The 14,460-nt window shown below is 38.3% G+C and overlaps 1 protein-coding gene across 3 annotated transcripts in view; it reads right to left on the bottom strand.

Annotated features, from left to right (window-relative positions):
* The window catches only part of GADL1 (glutamate decarboxylase like 1), a 168,465-nt gene that overhangs the window by 125,926 nt on the left and 28,079 nt on the right, over positions 1 to 14,460 (bottom strand). For all 3 annotated transcript variants that reach the window (NM_207359.3, XM_017006297.2, XM_047448071.1), the window contains exons 2-4: positions 9,471 to 9,643; positions 4,893 to 5,019; positions 2,577 to 2,667 (exon numbers count right to left, since the gene is read on the bottom strand). In NM_207359.3, coding sequence (NP_997242.2) covers positions 2,577 to 2,667; positions 4,893 to 5,019; positions 9,471 to 9,643 — 391 coding nt within the window. The remainder of the gene's footprint in view (positions 1 to 2,576; positions 2,668 to 4,892; positions 5,020 to 9,470; positions 9,644 to 14,460) is intronic.

Here is a 14,460-nt window from a genome sequence, read left to right on the forward strand (position 1 = left end):
TTGGATTGAGGCATAAAAGCTGGTCACCTACTATGTATCACCTACTATTTATCACCTACATATGTGTCAACTCTACAGATGTTATGCCATCTTAAAAATAAGATAGATTCAGCTGGGTGCAGTGGCTCATGCCTGTAATCTCAGCACTTTGGGAGTTCAAGGCGGGTGGATCATAGGTCAGGAGTTCAAGACCAGCCTGGCCAAGATGGTGAAACCCCATCTCTATTAAAAATACAAAAATTAGCCACGCATGGTGGTAGGGGCCTGTAATCCCAGCTACTCAGGAGACTGAGGCAGAGAATTACTTGAACCTGGGAGGCGGAGGTTGCAGTAAGCTGAGATCATGCCACTGCACTCCAGTCTGGGCAACAGAGCAAGATTTCATCTCCAAAACAAAATTTAAAAAGATAGATTCTGTTTCTTAACCACGTTATGAAGCCAGTGTACATACACAAAAAGTATGAAAAAAGCATATATTTATGTGAACCTACAAATATATATAAAATAGTTACTTTCATAATAAAAAAAAAAAGTATTTAGCCTGTCTTTGAAAACTGGCTCAATTATAAACCTAGGAATCAGCCTGGAGGGTGGAGGAAAAGATAAGATAGAACACACTCATGGGTTGGCATATTTTGAGTGGATGGTTTAGCTTAGCAGCAATTTAACACTCCTTTAATCTGAAATATTTAGAGATTTTTGAACTTAGATGAAGAGTTAGAAAACCTGGGATATACAAGAAAAGATTGAAAAAGGTGTGTAATTTTACTGTCTCTCCTGACTTACCCTCACTGTAACTGATTGTAACCTGGTATCTGCTGTCATCACTCCATCAAAACCTCCCTAAAGTTGCCAGTGACGTCCATGTAGCTAATCCAGTGGATGCTGTTTAGGCTCTTAGTTGAATATTCAACAACATGTGACACTAGGCATGCTCTCCTCGTGGCTGCCACAGCTAGCCTTTTGTTTTTTTCCTTCTATTCTCGCCATTGTAAGCTGACCCTGTTCCTCCTAACCATTAAATGTTAGATGTCCTCAAGGCCCAGTATTGAGCCGCCTTCTCTCCCCACTCTATACTCTGTCCCCTAGGCAGTGGTTCTTTATCTTGGCTTCCCATTGAAATCACTTGTTGAACTTTCTAAATATATCAATGCATGGGGCACAGCCACAGAATTTCAGATTTAATTGGCCTGGGTTGGCACCCAGGTATCAATACATTTTTATAAAATTCTCAAGTGATTTTCATGAATAGTCAGGGTGGTGAATCACTGACATAGGAAGTCTCATCCACGTCCACCATTTCAATTACCATAATTTCACTGATAATTCTTAAGTTTATACCTTTCATATAGACATCAGAATTCCAAGCCCATATATTTCTCAGCTTAGTTCCTATGCATTCTTGGATATTTTAAAGTCACTGCAAACTCAAATGCCCACAACTGAAAATGTAATGCTTGCTCTTGCCTCCTTCACCATATACTTGAAAACCAGTTCCCTCTCCCAGTGCTTATTTCTATGAATGATATGACCATGAACCTAGCTATGAAAGCCAGAAACCCAGGCATTGTCCCAGGAGTCTTCTCCCTTTTACTGTTATTTTCAAGCTGTGTATCCCATCCTTTCTGTTTTATTTTTTGAACTCATTCTTTCCCGCTCTATTCCTATCTCTTCTCTCCAAGTCCGAGCTACTTTCCTCTCTCACCCGACTAAAGTAATGCCCTCCTAACGGGTCCCCTCCAACCTATTTATATTTTTAGAGATTTTTTCAGTAAGAAAATGGCACCTAGTGACTTAGAAACCTTCAATGGCTTTTTGTTACATTTAGAAAGACTCATAAACATGGTCACCTGGGCCCTATATGTCTGGCTTCTATCTCTCTCTCTCTTTCTCTAGTCTTATTCTCCACTACAGTCCTGTAACTCTCTCAGCTGTACCCACACTGGCCTTTCAGTTCATAGAGAATGGCATGCTGTGTCCTGCCACAGGGCCTTTATACATGTCATTCTGTCTATTTAGAACTCATCCCTCACCTTATCACCTAATAACACTTATTCAGTGTCAACTGTCATCTTTGCAGAGCACACTCTCCTGAGCTTCCAACTAGGAAAAATTGTCCCATTCATATGAATACTTAGAACACTTTGTACTTTTCCTTCAGATGAGAGTTTGGATTTTACATTAATTTTTGTGGACCACTTCGATTAGCATTTTTATACCAGATATTATGCTCCATGAGGGCAGAGTCAAGGTTTATTTGTGTTCAATATGTCTCTCCATCACTTAGCACAGAAAATGACTTTTCATGCAAGAACAAATAAAAAATTGCCTAATCAATTTTCTCATCTGTTAAATCTCATTAAATGAGATAATAATGACTGCCTTTTCCATCTCACGGTACCACTATTTAAATCAAATAGCTATTTGAATACTGATAAGTATCATAAAACTATTCCATTATTTGCGATGGCACTATGCAAAAGAAACCATTAAATAGAGATTTTTGAAATAAAATTTCATCTACTTAAAGTCTCTAATCCACGTTTGGTGTGAAATTTCTATAGCATGGCACTTACACACTTGGATTCAATGCTTCGGTCATAAATCGGGCCACCAAGGAGTAATAATCAAGTCCAGCATACAATTGGTTGAAAAATCTTGGGTGGTCTGTAAATTTAAAATGGAGTATTCATCTATGCAGCAATAAAAAAAAAAACTACTGATACAGCATTAACATAAATGAATCTTTCAGAAAATGAAAGCAGACACACACAGAAGAGTTATATATAACGTAATTCCATTTATATGACATTCAAAACCAACAAAGCTATCTAAGGAGATGGCGGTTAGAATTCTAGGTACTTTGTGGAAAGAATTATGGATTGGGAAGGGACTTCAGAGAGCCTCTGGAGTGCTAGAATTGGTCTATATCTAGATCCAGGTGATGGCTCCATATGCACAGCTACGTACAAATTCATCATGCCGAGCAATTAAGATTTGTGCACTTTACTGAATATAAATTATACCTCATTCTAAAAAAATCCAAAACAGGATCATGCGCAAGGAAAAACATGTTGAAGACACATCGTAGAGCCCTTTCTACTGGTCAGTGTTTGTAAGTAAAATCTGAGTTGTCTTTTAAGAGCTTTGATTTACTTGCTCCTCTTTTTTACAACCCAGACCCAAACCAGAACCCTTAAATAATTATTTGAACACTATTTGTCCAAGGATCACAGGGTACTGCCTTTTTTTCTGAAAATATCAATATTAACTTCTCACTTCATATACATTTCACTCACAGCAGAGTTCACCCCAGGCTATGGCACTGAGCAGCCTTTTCATTTTTCAGATTGGACCCATGCGACTGGCAGTATATAGATGGAGTAAGATGTGACTCACTATGCGGCTTACATACACTTCTGATTCAATTTGCTTGAAATGCAATCGCCTTTAAGAGACAAACAATGGCTTGTTCCAATTTTAATTTTTTTCCCCCCTCCTATAAAAGGTCTCATAAAGGTTCTTGGCTTTACACCATGTGAATAATCACACCATACACCCGGCTAACTGGCTTGGCATTCTCAATCTCAGGAAGCTCAGCATGACAGAACAAAGAGGCAGGAGGTCTATTTCTACATTTGAGTATTTGGGAATCATTTAATTTGGTGACCTCTCATTACAACTTACAGCATCTGGTTTTAGTTTATTTTAGTTTTTTTTTTCTCTCTTTAGGGGTTCAATAAAAAAACAAGTCTCAAAAGAAAATGTCTTTTCAGCTTAAACATGGAAAACTTCCTCTGATCTGGCAAAAAAAAAAAAAACGGCATTGCTACAAGTAATTTTAATAAGTTTTTTTTAGTTCTGTGTTAATTTATGATTGATTTCCATGGTAACATGGAAAATATCCAGTAAACTGAAAAATCTACTGCATTAAATGTCATTCTGCACTTTTGACATGCACTGGTAATAATAAGATACATATCTCTGCTTTTGAAATGCTAACTGAGTTTTTGATACATACACCAGACTTTCCCAAAGGAATATAATCCAATTATTTTTAGCCAGAATTTTACTATGTTCTTTCCACTAAACTTAGTCCAGTGTCAGAATTTACAAAGTAATGCCTGTATGATCTTAAGCGCTAGATACCTTTACATTACACTGACAAATATTTTGGAAGATTATTCTCCCATTTTTGAAACTTGTTCGCTGGATGAACAGGATATTAACAGGTAAGCTAGAATGGTGCCTCAGTGTAAGATTGACATCACATTACTGCACGTACAAAGTTCACAGTAGTTATGACATCACTGTGAAATAATCTCATCAAAAACTTGGAATGTATTCATTTGTCTTATATCCATCTAAGGGCTTTTATTTATTTGTTTTTGGTACAGCCAGATTTGATCAAATAGTTTGGCAATTACCAACTGCCAAGAGTTAATCAGTGTCTTCCAAATAAATCATTTCTGTTTATATTAAAGATACCTTTTGAACACTTTTTTTGCATACTCTGGGCCATCAAGATTTAAAATCCCTTAACAAATTTATATAATCAAAATACTATTTGCCAGTTTGGTCTAACACAAGAAATGATAAGTAGCAGTGATAATATATGATCTTGATTACAACTAGTATGTGGGGGTTGGCAAGGAGAAGAGGATATTTACATACAAACACTAACACCTACAGTTTTCCTGTCAACTTATCTTTGGCCTTGGCAATGAATCTGGATTAGGGATTAAAGGGACCATTGCAAAAACATCAGAACTACTAATTTTTTGATCCAGATTTCTCGTTCCATAAGCATTGCTATACTCAGCTTTGAGAGGCTTTGCAAACATAAGAACTTGTCAGAGGTACAGATCAAGGAAGTAAATTAAAGTTCTTACTAGTTTTGACACTGTAGTGTATGACATCCCGACAGAGTTCCAATAGTTTATGGGGTGGCTCGCCTGAGTCTCTCATCTCCAAATCAAGAAGCTGTTTCAGTTGTTCAGGAGGCCTCCATTCACACACCTGGAGATTCAACCACAACACAAATTGAGTATCCACCATAGCCAGGTATTGAGAGGATGTTACAAACGTGGACTCTACCATTACAAAGCTTCTGGGCAGCGGGTGATTTAAACATGCAACTATAGTTCAGACGAAAAGAACTATTACAGTAATGTAGATGTTGATGGGACCAATGAGGGGCGCCATCTTAGATTTGCAAGGTAAAGGGAGATTTCCTAGTGATACTGATATCTAAGTTGTTACATAGAATAAGAGTAGAGCGAATCAAAGTTTAGGGAGGTTCTAGATGGAAGTGACAGAAGTAACAAAGATCAAAAGTAAAATTAAAAAAGATAAAAAATTCGGATCCTATGGCACATCTGTAAAATCAAGTACATTTGGTATGGCTTGAACATGGATTTTTGAGAAATGGAGAGGAAATAAACAGGAATGCTGAAGCAGTTTTTCTCTCTGTGTGTACCCGGCCCTATGCAGTCTGCTATCGACCTAGCAGCCAGAATGATCCTCCTAAACTTAAGCCATGGCCATTCCTCTATTCAAATACATCTGATGGCTCCCTGTTTCTTTCAAAGTAAAACCTGAGGTCCTTACAAAGATATAAAATGATCCTTTACGATCTGCTTCTCCTGGTTTCATTTTTCCTCTAGTCTCATCTGGGACTACTTTCCTTCTGGCTAACTCTGCTCTTGACACCCTAGCCTCCTTACTGTTCTTAACTACACGAGGGAGGTTCCCATACTGGGGTCTCTGCACTGTGTGTGCCCTCTGCCTAGAATGTTTTTCAAAATATCCTCATAACTGAATCCCTCACTTATTTCAAATCTTTGCTCAGAAGTCACTTTCTCAACAACAGCAATCCTGACTCCCTTACCTAAAATTAAAATCTACCCATTACCTCTATCAATCCCCTTTAACATTTCCTACTATTCCTTTTTACAAAGCACTTATCACCCTCTAATATACTGTTACTTATTGTATCCTACATAATCTCCATACAAGCAGATCTGTCTTTTTGCTCACTGATCCCAAGTGACTACCACAGAGTCTGCACATAATAGTGCTCAATAAAGATGTGTTGAATAACTGAATGGATAAACAGAGATAAGCAAGGCTCAGATCATAATGGGCTTTATGTGACATATTATAGAGTTTGGACTTGGCTCTAAGGAAGCCATTAAAATGTTTAGGACAGGGGAATGAAAGGATCATATTTGTGTTTGGGGCAATAGCTTTAGTTGTTATGTGGAGGTTCCCAATAAAATTTGAAATAAGAGGTTGCTGTAATAAGCCAGGCAAGAGAAGGTGATGATCTGGATGACAGTCAATGCTGTATTAAATATGTAGTTTTTAGAGATATTTAAAATGCAGAATCACTAGAACCTGGAAATCAGTTAGATTTTGAGGGTGAGATGAATGAGCCAAGGATCATCCCAAGGTTTCCAGCTTGGACACAAGATTGGATGGCAGCAATGGGGATAGCAGGAGAAGGATCTGGTTGGGGTGGTGTGGGGATGATGAGGTGAAAGCAGGTTTAGGACAAGGCACCTTCAGAATATCCAAAAGCTGTATAGCAGTTGATCTGAGGCTCTTGCAAAAGATTGAGGACAGAGTTCCAGGGAGACACTATGATAATGTAACAGTAGTTGATGTGGCTCAGAGAGAACCTACAGCAGGGCAGAAAGGAGCAGAATCTTTCTGGGCATCACCAACACTTATGAATGGGCATAGGAAGAGGAGCCTGACTGTCCTGTGGAGGGCACGCCAGAGAGGTAGGGAGAATCCTAAGAGTTTAGTGCTACCATAACCAAGAAGAAAGAATGCTTTAGGAAGGAGATGTTCACCACTGTCAAATACTGCTAAGAAGCCGAATTAGATAGACTTGAAGTGCTCATGGAATTTATCAACAAGGAGGTGTTCTTGGCAAGAGCAGCTTGACTTAGAGAGGTGGGGGCGGAGGCCAGATTGCTTTGAAGTGAGAATGTAGGAGGTGAAGAAACGGAGGGAGGGAATATAGATAATCTCTAAAAATTTTGGCTGTGGAGGGGAGGAGAGAGATAGGGAAGTAGCCAGGGAGTGAAAAGACTGGGAGGCTGGGGGGAAGCAGGAGGAAATACCAAGTTGTGCAAGTAGTATGAAATTAAACTATGATGCTATAACCATGACAGGCAGAGGTAAATTGGAAATGCCTGAGACAATCAAAAGGAATGACTACTGGCGCATTCAACAACATGGATGAATCTCAAATGCATTTTGTTGAGGGTAAACAGCAAGACTCAAAGCCTACTAAAATACTATTCCATCAACATGACATTCTAGAAAAGGCAAGTATCATAGGGAAAGAAAATCAGTGGTTTCAGGGGCTAGAGGAAAGGGGAGGATTGATTAGAGAGGGGCACAGAATAGTTATATAACTATTCTAATGAAGATATAGAACAGTTCCATCATATCGTAGTAATAGTTATGACTTCTGAAACTCATAGAACCACACCCCAAAGGGGTAAATTTTACTGAATATAAATTATAATTCAGTTTTAAAAACTGGCTGATGAAGAATTTTCTGCTAATGAAACTAGCAGTGATCACTGCACCAAGCTTGGGTATATATCTGCAGGCTACCTTTTAATGGTGCTCTGTTGGATCTCAAACAAGGTAGGCTAAGTTAGTGGTATCAAAACTTCACCTCCTTCCCCCAACTCTAGCATAGCTTTCAATCCAACTTCCCGTGGGTAGCCTGCACATCTATTACATTGTAATTGACTTGTGGTTCCTTAATTGACAACTTAGGATCTTAAGATCTTCCGTTTCTCATCTTATTAGTCCCCTGTGTGAGCTCTTTTTTTCTGGGCAAAAAATGGTCCCCTTGCTGTGTTAAGTACATCTTGTCCTTTTGCAATGCTCTTTCCATTATTGACCTTCCTGCTTTCTTCCTCCAGAAATGAGTACCCTAACGCCAAACTTTCTCTTCCCCTGCCACTGCCCCCCAAAATTCTCACTTGCCCTTTACTTACATTCCACATCTGAGCTCAAAGTACTCGCTCCTGAGTGAAATCCCAAAAATCTGTTCCAGTCTCAAAGCATTTATCACATCCTTACTGGGACCCCCCGCTGCCTTTTCTAATGAAAACATATCCTTCCAATTAGATTATAAATTCTGTTCAGAGCTGGGCCTTTATATTGTTTTTCTTTATATTCTCTAGGGCTGAATATAAAGCTTTAGTCATAGCTAATACTCAGTTAATATTTAATGACTGAATAAAGGCCAATAAAAAAAACTGCCAGAGGAGCAGTGTACTCCAATGTAAAGCAGATCCAAAGTATTTCACAAGTACAGAGAAGAACAGAAATTATATAATTATAAATATGCTATCTGGGCAAATACCAAACACCATCAGGATTTTGCCTTGAACATAACTTCCAAATTCATGCATCAATCTATTTTCCTACTAGTTTTCCGAAAGGCATGTGATCAAAAATTCAGAATAAATATCACCTCACTTTCAAAATCTTTTAAAAATGATACTTATTTCTAACTAATATAACTGGAATAAAAATCTCTTCCTTACATCCATTTGTTGATAATCCACCTCCAACATGAAAACCAATGTGATAAAGGTTGATTCGGTAATTTTAAGAGGCATATGGAATAGTTAAGAGTGCAGATTGTGAAGTGATACTGCCTGGATTTTAGTCCCGGCTCTGATACTTGTGTATAATCTTGGGCAACATATTTGACCTCTTTGTGCCTGACTTTCTTTCCCAGCTCTAAAATGGGGGTAATAGTATCTGCCTTTTAGTGCTTTTGAAAGGATTAAATGCATAAGGAGTAGTCCTTAGAACATAGTAAGTATTCTTAAGAGTAGATGTCATTAGCGGCGGTTCTAATATCAATTTGAATTGAATTTGAGCCTGAATTTGAAATCTACAACCAATAATTGGTACCAGAAAGGAGTCAGACTTAACCACCTAAGATTTCTAGGCTAAATTTAGACAAGCTCTTCATAAGGACCTTAAGATAAATTTAAAATGTTTTTACATCCTTTTCCATCTTTTGCTTGATTTTCATGAACAACATGAAGAGTGTGCACTAGAAAATGGGGAGCAAAGAGCATTAGAGAGTTGCGTAAGTGAGATTAGCAGGTTACTTATCTATGTTATTATCTAGGGTGCAGGAAGTTTCATCCCTGTGCTTCATGTCCTTATGTGATTAAGCTCTAGGGTCTCAGCCAATCTTCCCACGAATGATGACTGGCAGAGTAAGGAGGCAACCCTTCAAGGACAGCAGGAATTGCCTGAAGGACAGCCTACACTTTTATATCTGGACATCCTTTTGAGACAAAGGCATAGAAGAAATAAAAACTTGGCCTTCCCATTTGCTTTCTATTCAGCCATACTGATTTGGGGAACATCTATCTTTCCCATTTCTGCAATTTCTTACAGGTTTTAATTTTTACCTTCTCATTGACATCTGTAGCTTTCAAAACCACCTCTTCCATTATTAGCCTACAGGCCTCTTCAACAAATTTTTCTCCAGCTTTTGCATCTGTTGTAGGACCATTCAGCACAACCCCATCCACAAGAACAGCATTCTTCTTACTTGGAATCATCTCTTGTTGATCAATATCTCCTGGAAGCAAGCAAACAAATTGTGTTTGAGAGATAATCTAATTACACCACATAACAAAGCACGGGACAAAATGCATCACTATCCCAGCTTCAGATGGCACATCTTTTAATACATGAAGGCATCATTTGAGGTGTTGAGCTGACAATTTCTTATGACACACCATGGTATGATAGTTAAGGAAAATTTTACAAAGAAAGCTCACAATTTATGGATTAAGTAAATCTACCTTATTATATATGTCACTCTGTACTGGGCTGAGTTAGTCATGGAGTATATGACCTCCTAATTCAGTGCAATTTCAGGTCTGATGGGGAAAGGTACCATTCACATACAATTCCCATGCTAGATGGTGTTTGAAGTTGAAAAAAAATGTTTTCCATAATTAGAATGCTGATTCACAAAGCAACTGCCCCTAGGAGAGAGTAAATATTCATTGGCATTTCTACACATGCACAAATGATTAAGTGATTTCCCTAATCCTTTCCTCAGAGACAGCCGTCACTCTACCACAGGAGAGTTCGAGATGGAGGAACAGGAGTTAGGCATTTGGAGAAAAGGATGAGGAGAAAGCCCTTCAGATTTTATCTAGAATTAACACCACCTCTATGCTGTCAGTATCCCCTTAAAATATAAATAATACAATATCATACAATAGTGGTTTTAACTTTCAGAATCTGGTGCATTGAGTAGACAAATCCTATAATTAAGGTAGCAAGCTTTTAGCTTCATTTCCTTGTACAAAGTCCTTTAGCATTTCTGAGCCCTAGGATGAAGCTTTGGGCAGAGATAAAGAAAATAGCACCTGTCCTTACACAATTTATTTTCCTCAAGGAAGAGATAATGCATTTCCAGATTGAAATAACAAATTGAATTTTATGAAGATCCATCTTGTATTGGATGTATCTGAATTATCGAAGTATCTAAGAGGGATCACCTGGTCACCTTCAACAAAGTGAATATTGAAATCTTCAAAGGCAAAGAGCTAGCTGCTTCCTTCTTGAACTAGCACACATGAATATGTTTCTCCAAATGTATGTCCCCTCTTCCTTTAGGTGCGTGTAGCTGTTGGCCAATTTCTCTATGAACTAGATTACAAAGTTTACACAAAAGTTGTATTTTTCATTCTTGCAGCATCTTGTTTAGCATCAGGGAGTGTGGAGGAGACCAAGAAATGTAAATGTAACCTATTTTACTCATTCTTGCAGTCACCTTTCAAACACATGTACAAAGAGATCTTCGTAAACATAAGCCCATGTCTGTTTCACACACACACACACACACACACACACTCTCTCTCACACTCACACACTCACTCTCTCTCTCTCTCGTAATTTGTCAGGGATACCATATTTTCCCTTTTAACAAATCATTCCTTAAAAAGCAGCAGCGATATAAACTTGTCACTAATCTTAATTGTATGTTTTAATTCTATGTTTAAATGTTCCTCTATATTACAGATACTGCTTTGTCCCTGAGAGCCCCTAATTTTTCAGCCATTTTCTACATAGAGAGTGATAGAGGAAAGAAAGCAGCACAATGATTTGTTAAGCCTGTATTAAATGCCTTTAAACTTTTCAACCTTGCAGCTTAAGCACAGGCAAAAGGATGAGACGGAACATGTTCAAGACTGTACATGCCGATCATTGACTAAATGTTAAAAGTCAACATGAAAATCTATATCTGAGAAGAAAGGTTACTGCCTACCCAAAATAGCCCTCCACAAAAATAATTCTGGCAACTCAATCCAGATATTCAACCAATTTCCAGCACAAGCTTTGATTCAATCACATTCTCTTTTTCTAATCAGTATGTTTCTCCACCTTATAATGTATATGTTCATTTAATTGTTGAAATTGACAGAAACAATTTTTAAAGTACTTTTCAGCACTGTACCTCACACAGTATCTTCTATTTTAAATCCATCTTAAATATTCCAATGGTCTACAAAAAAAAACCCTTCTAAATATATGTATTTCAAACACTTCTACTCTTAGTGAGGGCTCTAACAATATTAACATTTATCATTTCTTAGACTCCACCTTCTCCTCAAAGTTAAACGTTCTGATAAAATTCTATGGCTCCACAAACACTTTAATTCTGTTATTGGCAAACACAAATGGTGTCTATGAAAGCACCAGATAAAAATGTTACAGGAAGATCCCCCAGTTGGGGAAAGATGGAATCTGCAGCAAAGGATCAATCTTTTGTCCTCTCACTGAAAAAGAAGCCATTTAGAGCTCCAATGAAGAATGTTAGTTCCAGCCCTCACTTTCACATGAAAGGAAACATTTAACATGGTTTAGGGCCAAATATTGAAACCCTAGAATTGAGCTTTTAGATGGAAATGCTCTGCACCTGAAGGTACTTTCCTCTCCTCCCAAATTTTTTAGGCCCTAAAAATAGAGTAAGAAAGAGAGCAATTATTCCAGGAACTCTGGTTATGTGAGTAGGCAGTGCTATTATTAAGCACGCAGAAAAAGTTAAGATTTTTTTTTTTTAACCTCATTAGTAGGATTTCAAGCTTTTATTACCCAGGGAATAACAGCAGCTCTATAGCCTGCTCATTATGTTTCTCTTTCTCTTTCTCTCACCCCGTTCCGTGTGTGTGTGTGTCACACACATACACACACACGATAAAATAAAAAATGTCAACACCCACTCGTAACCAGAATAGCAGTGAAATTTAAATTATCACTGTCTTCACACCAATGAATTAAAAAAAATCCCCATAATTCACACAATTATCTAGGAGAAAATACTGTAAAAATCTATACAGAAATGGGTCTAGATGATGTCTTTTCTTTGATAGACACATTTTATTTTTATAGCCAGATGTGATAATGTGCCTCTTTCTCCCCCAGCATTTGTCCAGGTCAGAAAAGGCCCTCTGGAGACTCTAGAATAGGTCAAGCTGTGGTCTCCTGAGGAAGGATATTCAGAATTTTCATTCTAACTGCTAGAGTTTATAGTGGCTCTTAATGAAGTCTTTCAATTTGAGGAATCTTCCATGAAGACTATACCTAGGATATGACTGCTTTTCATCACCCCCACTTTTACTACCTTAGTTCAAACCACCTTCAAATGCTAGGGTTACTGCAGTAGCCTCCCAACTAACCACCTTTCTTCGCCCTTTCCCCTCATTTTCTGTGGACTATTCTCAACACAGTACCTCCTACGTTCCCTTGAAAAGATAAATCTGATCACATGATGACTCCTGCTTAAAGCATTCAATGACTCCTCATCAAACTAAAAGCTAACATCCTTCTAATAACCTCAAAGGCCCATTTCCCTATTATCTCATGGACCTCAAACCTCATCTTGTTACTGTCCTCCAAGCTCACACAGCTCTATCATCTGTGGTCTTTTTCACCATGCTGATTCTTTCCTTAAACATCAGTTTCTCAGGGAGGCCTTCCTTGACTACCTCATATGAAGCTGCAATCACCTCTCTGCACTACTTTCTCTGCTTTGATTCCAGAGCAGTGACTACCATGGGATATATAATACCCACGTAAATTAATATATATATATATATATATATTTTTTAATATCTGTCTCTCCAATAAAGAAAGGTTAAGCTCTGTGAGAGCATGAGTTTGTGTCTGTCGGTTTCACTGTTATTTCCATAGCACCCAGAAAGTGCCTGGCAGTTTGCAGGAGTTTGATGAACATTTTTTGACTATTAAATGAAAGTTCTTCCTGGTTCCTTTAACCAACCAGTGATAATGTCTTCCTCCCTTGAGATGCCGTCGCAGGTTGTCTGTATGCCTTTCTGAACTGATAGCACAGCAAGGAGACTGGACCTGATTAAGCAGGGGAAACCTTTGGCTGGGGATGCAATAGACATAGAACACAGTTAATGGGCTAGAGAAGAGACAGTGGAGGCTGAAAGAACCCCGGGAACAGTCAGCAAGGCAAACCTGGGTTTCTGTTCTCTTCATTATTAAAGGAAACTGGCTGCAAGACCCTCCCTTTCCTTTCCTCTCGATTCTTGTTACCGCAGCCACTTTTTCTGTGCCCTTATTTTATGGTAGTCATTTGACTTCTAGAAGTCAGCGCACGGACCACAGGCTCACTCCAGAAACCACACTTCCAAATTTGAAAGCCAGTCAATTCCTAAAGACTCCAACTTCTGCATTTTTTACCAATTCCTCCCCTCCATAGCTTCCAAAATTCTGTATAGGATCAACTTTTGCTTTGTTCAGAGAGATACATTGTTCTCCCTTGATTAACAAACAATTCAGCTTCAAATATTGTTTCAGATTTTGAGAGATAGCCTCTTCCTCTGACATAGAATTAAGTGAATTAATACAGATAATGCCTTAAAACAGTGTCTGGTACATATTGGGAACTAATAAAAGTTAGCTAACAGTAGTAAATAACAACAATATTTATTCAATACATAAATGACACCAGGCACGGTGGTTCACACCTGCAATCTCAGCACTTTGGGAGGCTGAGGCAGGCAGATCACTTGTGGCCAGGAGTTTGAGACCAGCCTGGCAAACATGATGAAGCCCTGTCTCTACCAAAAAATACAAAAATTAGCCAGGCATAGTGGCACACACCTGTAGTCCCAGCTACTTGGGAGGCTAAGGCACAAGAATCAGTTGAACCTGGGAGGAGAAGGTTGCAGTGAGCCAAGATCATACCACTGCACTTCAGCCTGGGCAAAAGAGTGAGACCGTGTCTCAAAAATAATAGTAATAATAGTACATAAATGCATAAAGGAAACTTGCATGTGATGGTAAACTGTGACAATAGAAAGGGGAGGTCTTCTCAGATTGATCAAATGACCAGGGTAATAAACTCTAGAC

Source organism: Homo sapiens, chromosome 3, assembly GCF_000001405.40.
Source record: "Homo sapiens chromosome 3, GRCh38.p14 Primary Assembly".
Taxonomy (NCBI): domain Eukaryota; kingdom Metazoa; phylum Chordata; class Mammalia; order Primates; family Hominidae; genus Homo; species Homo sapiens.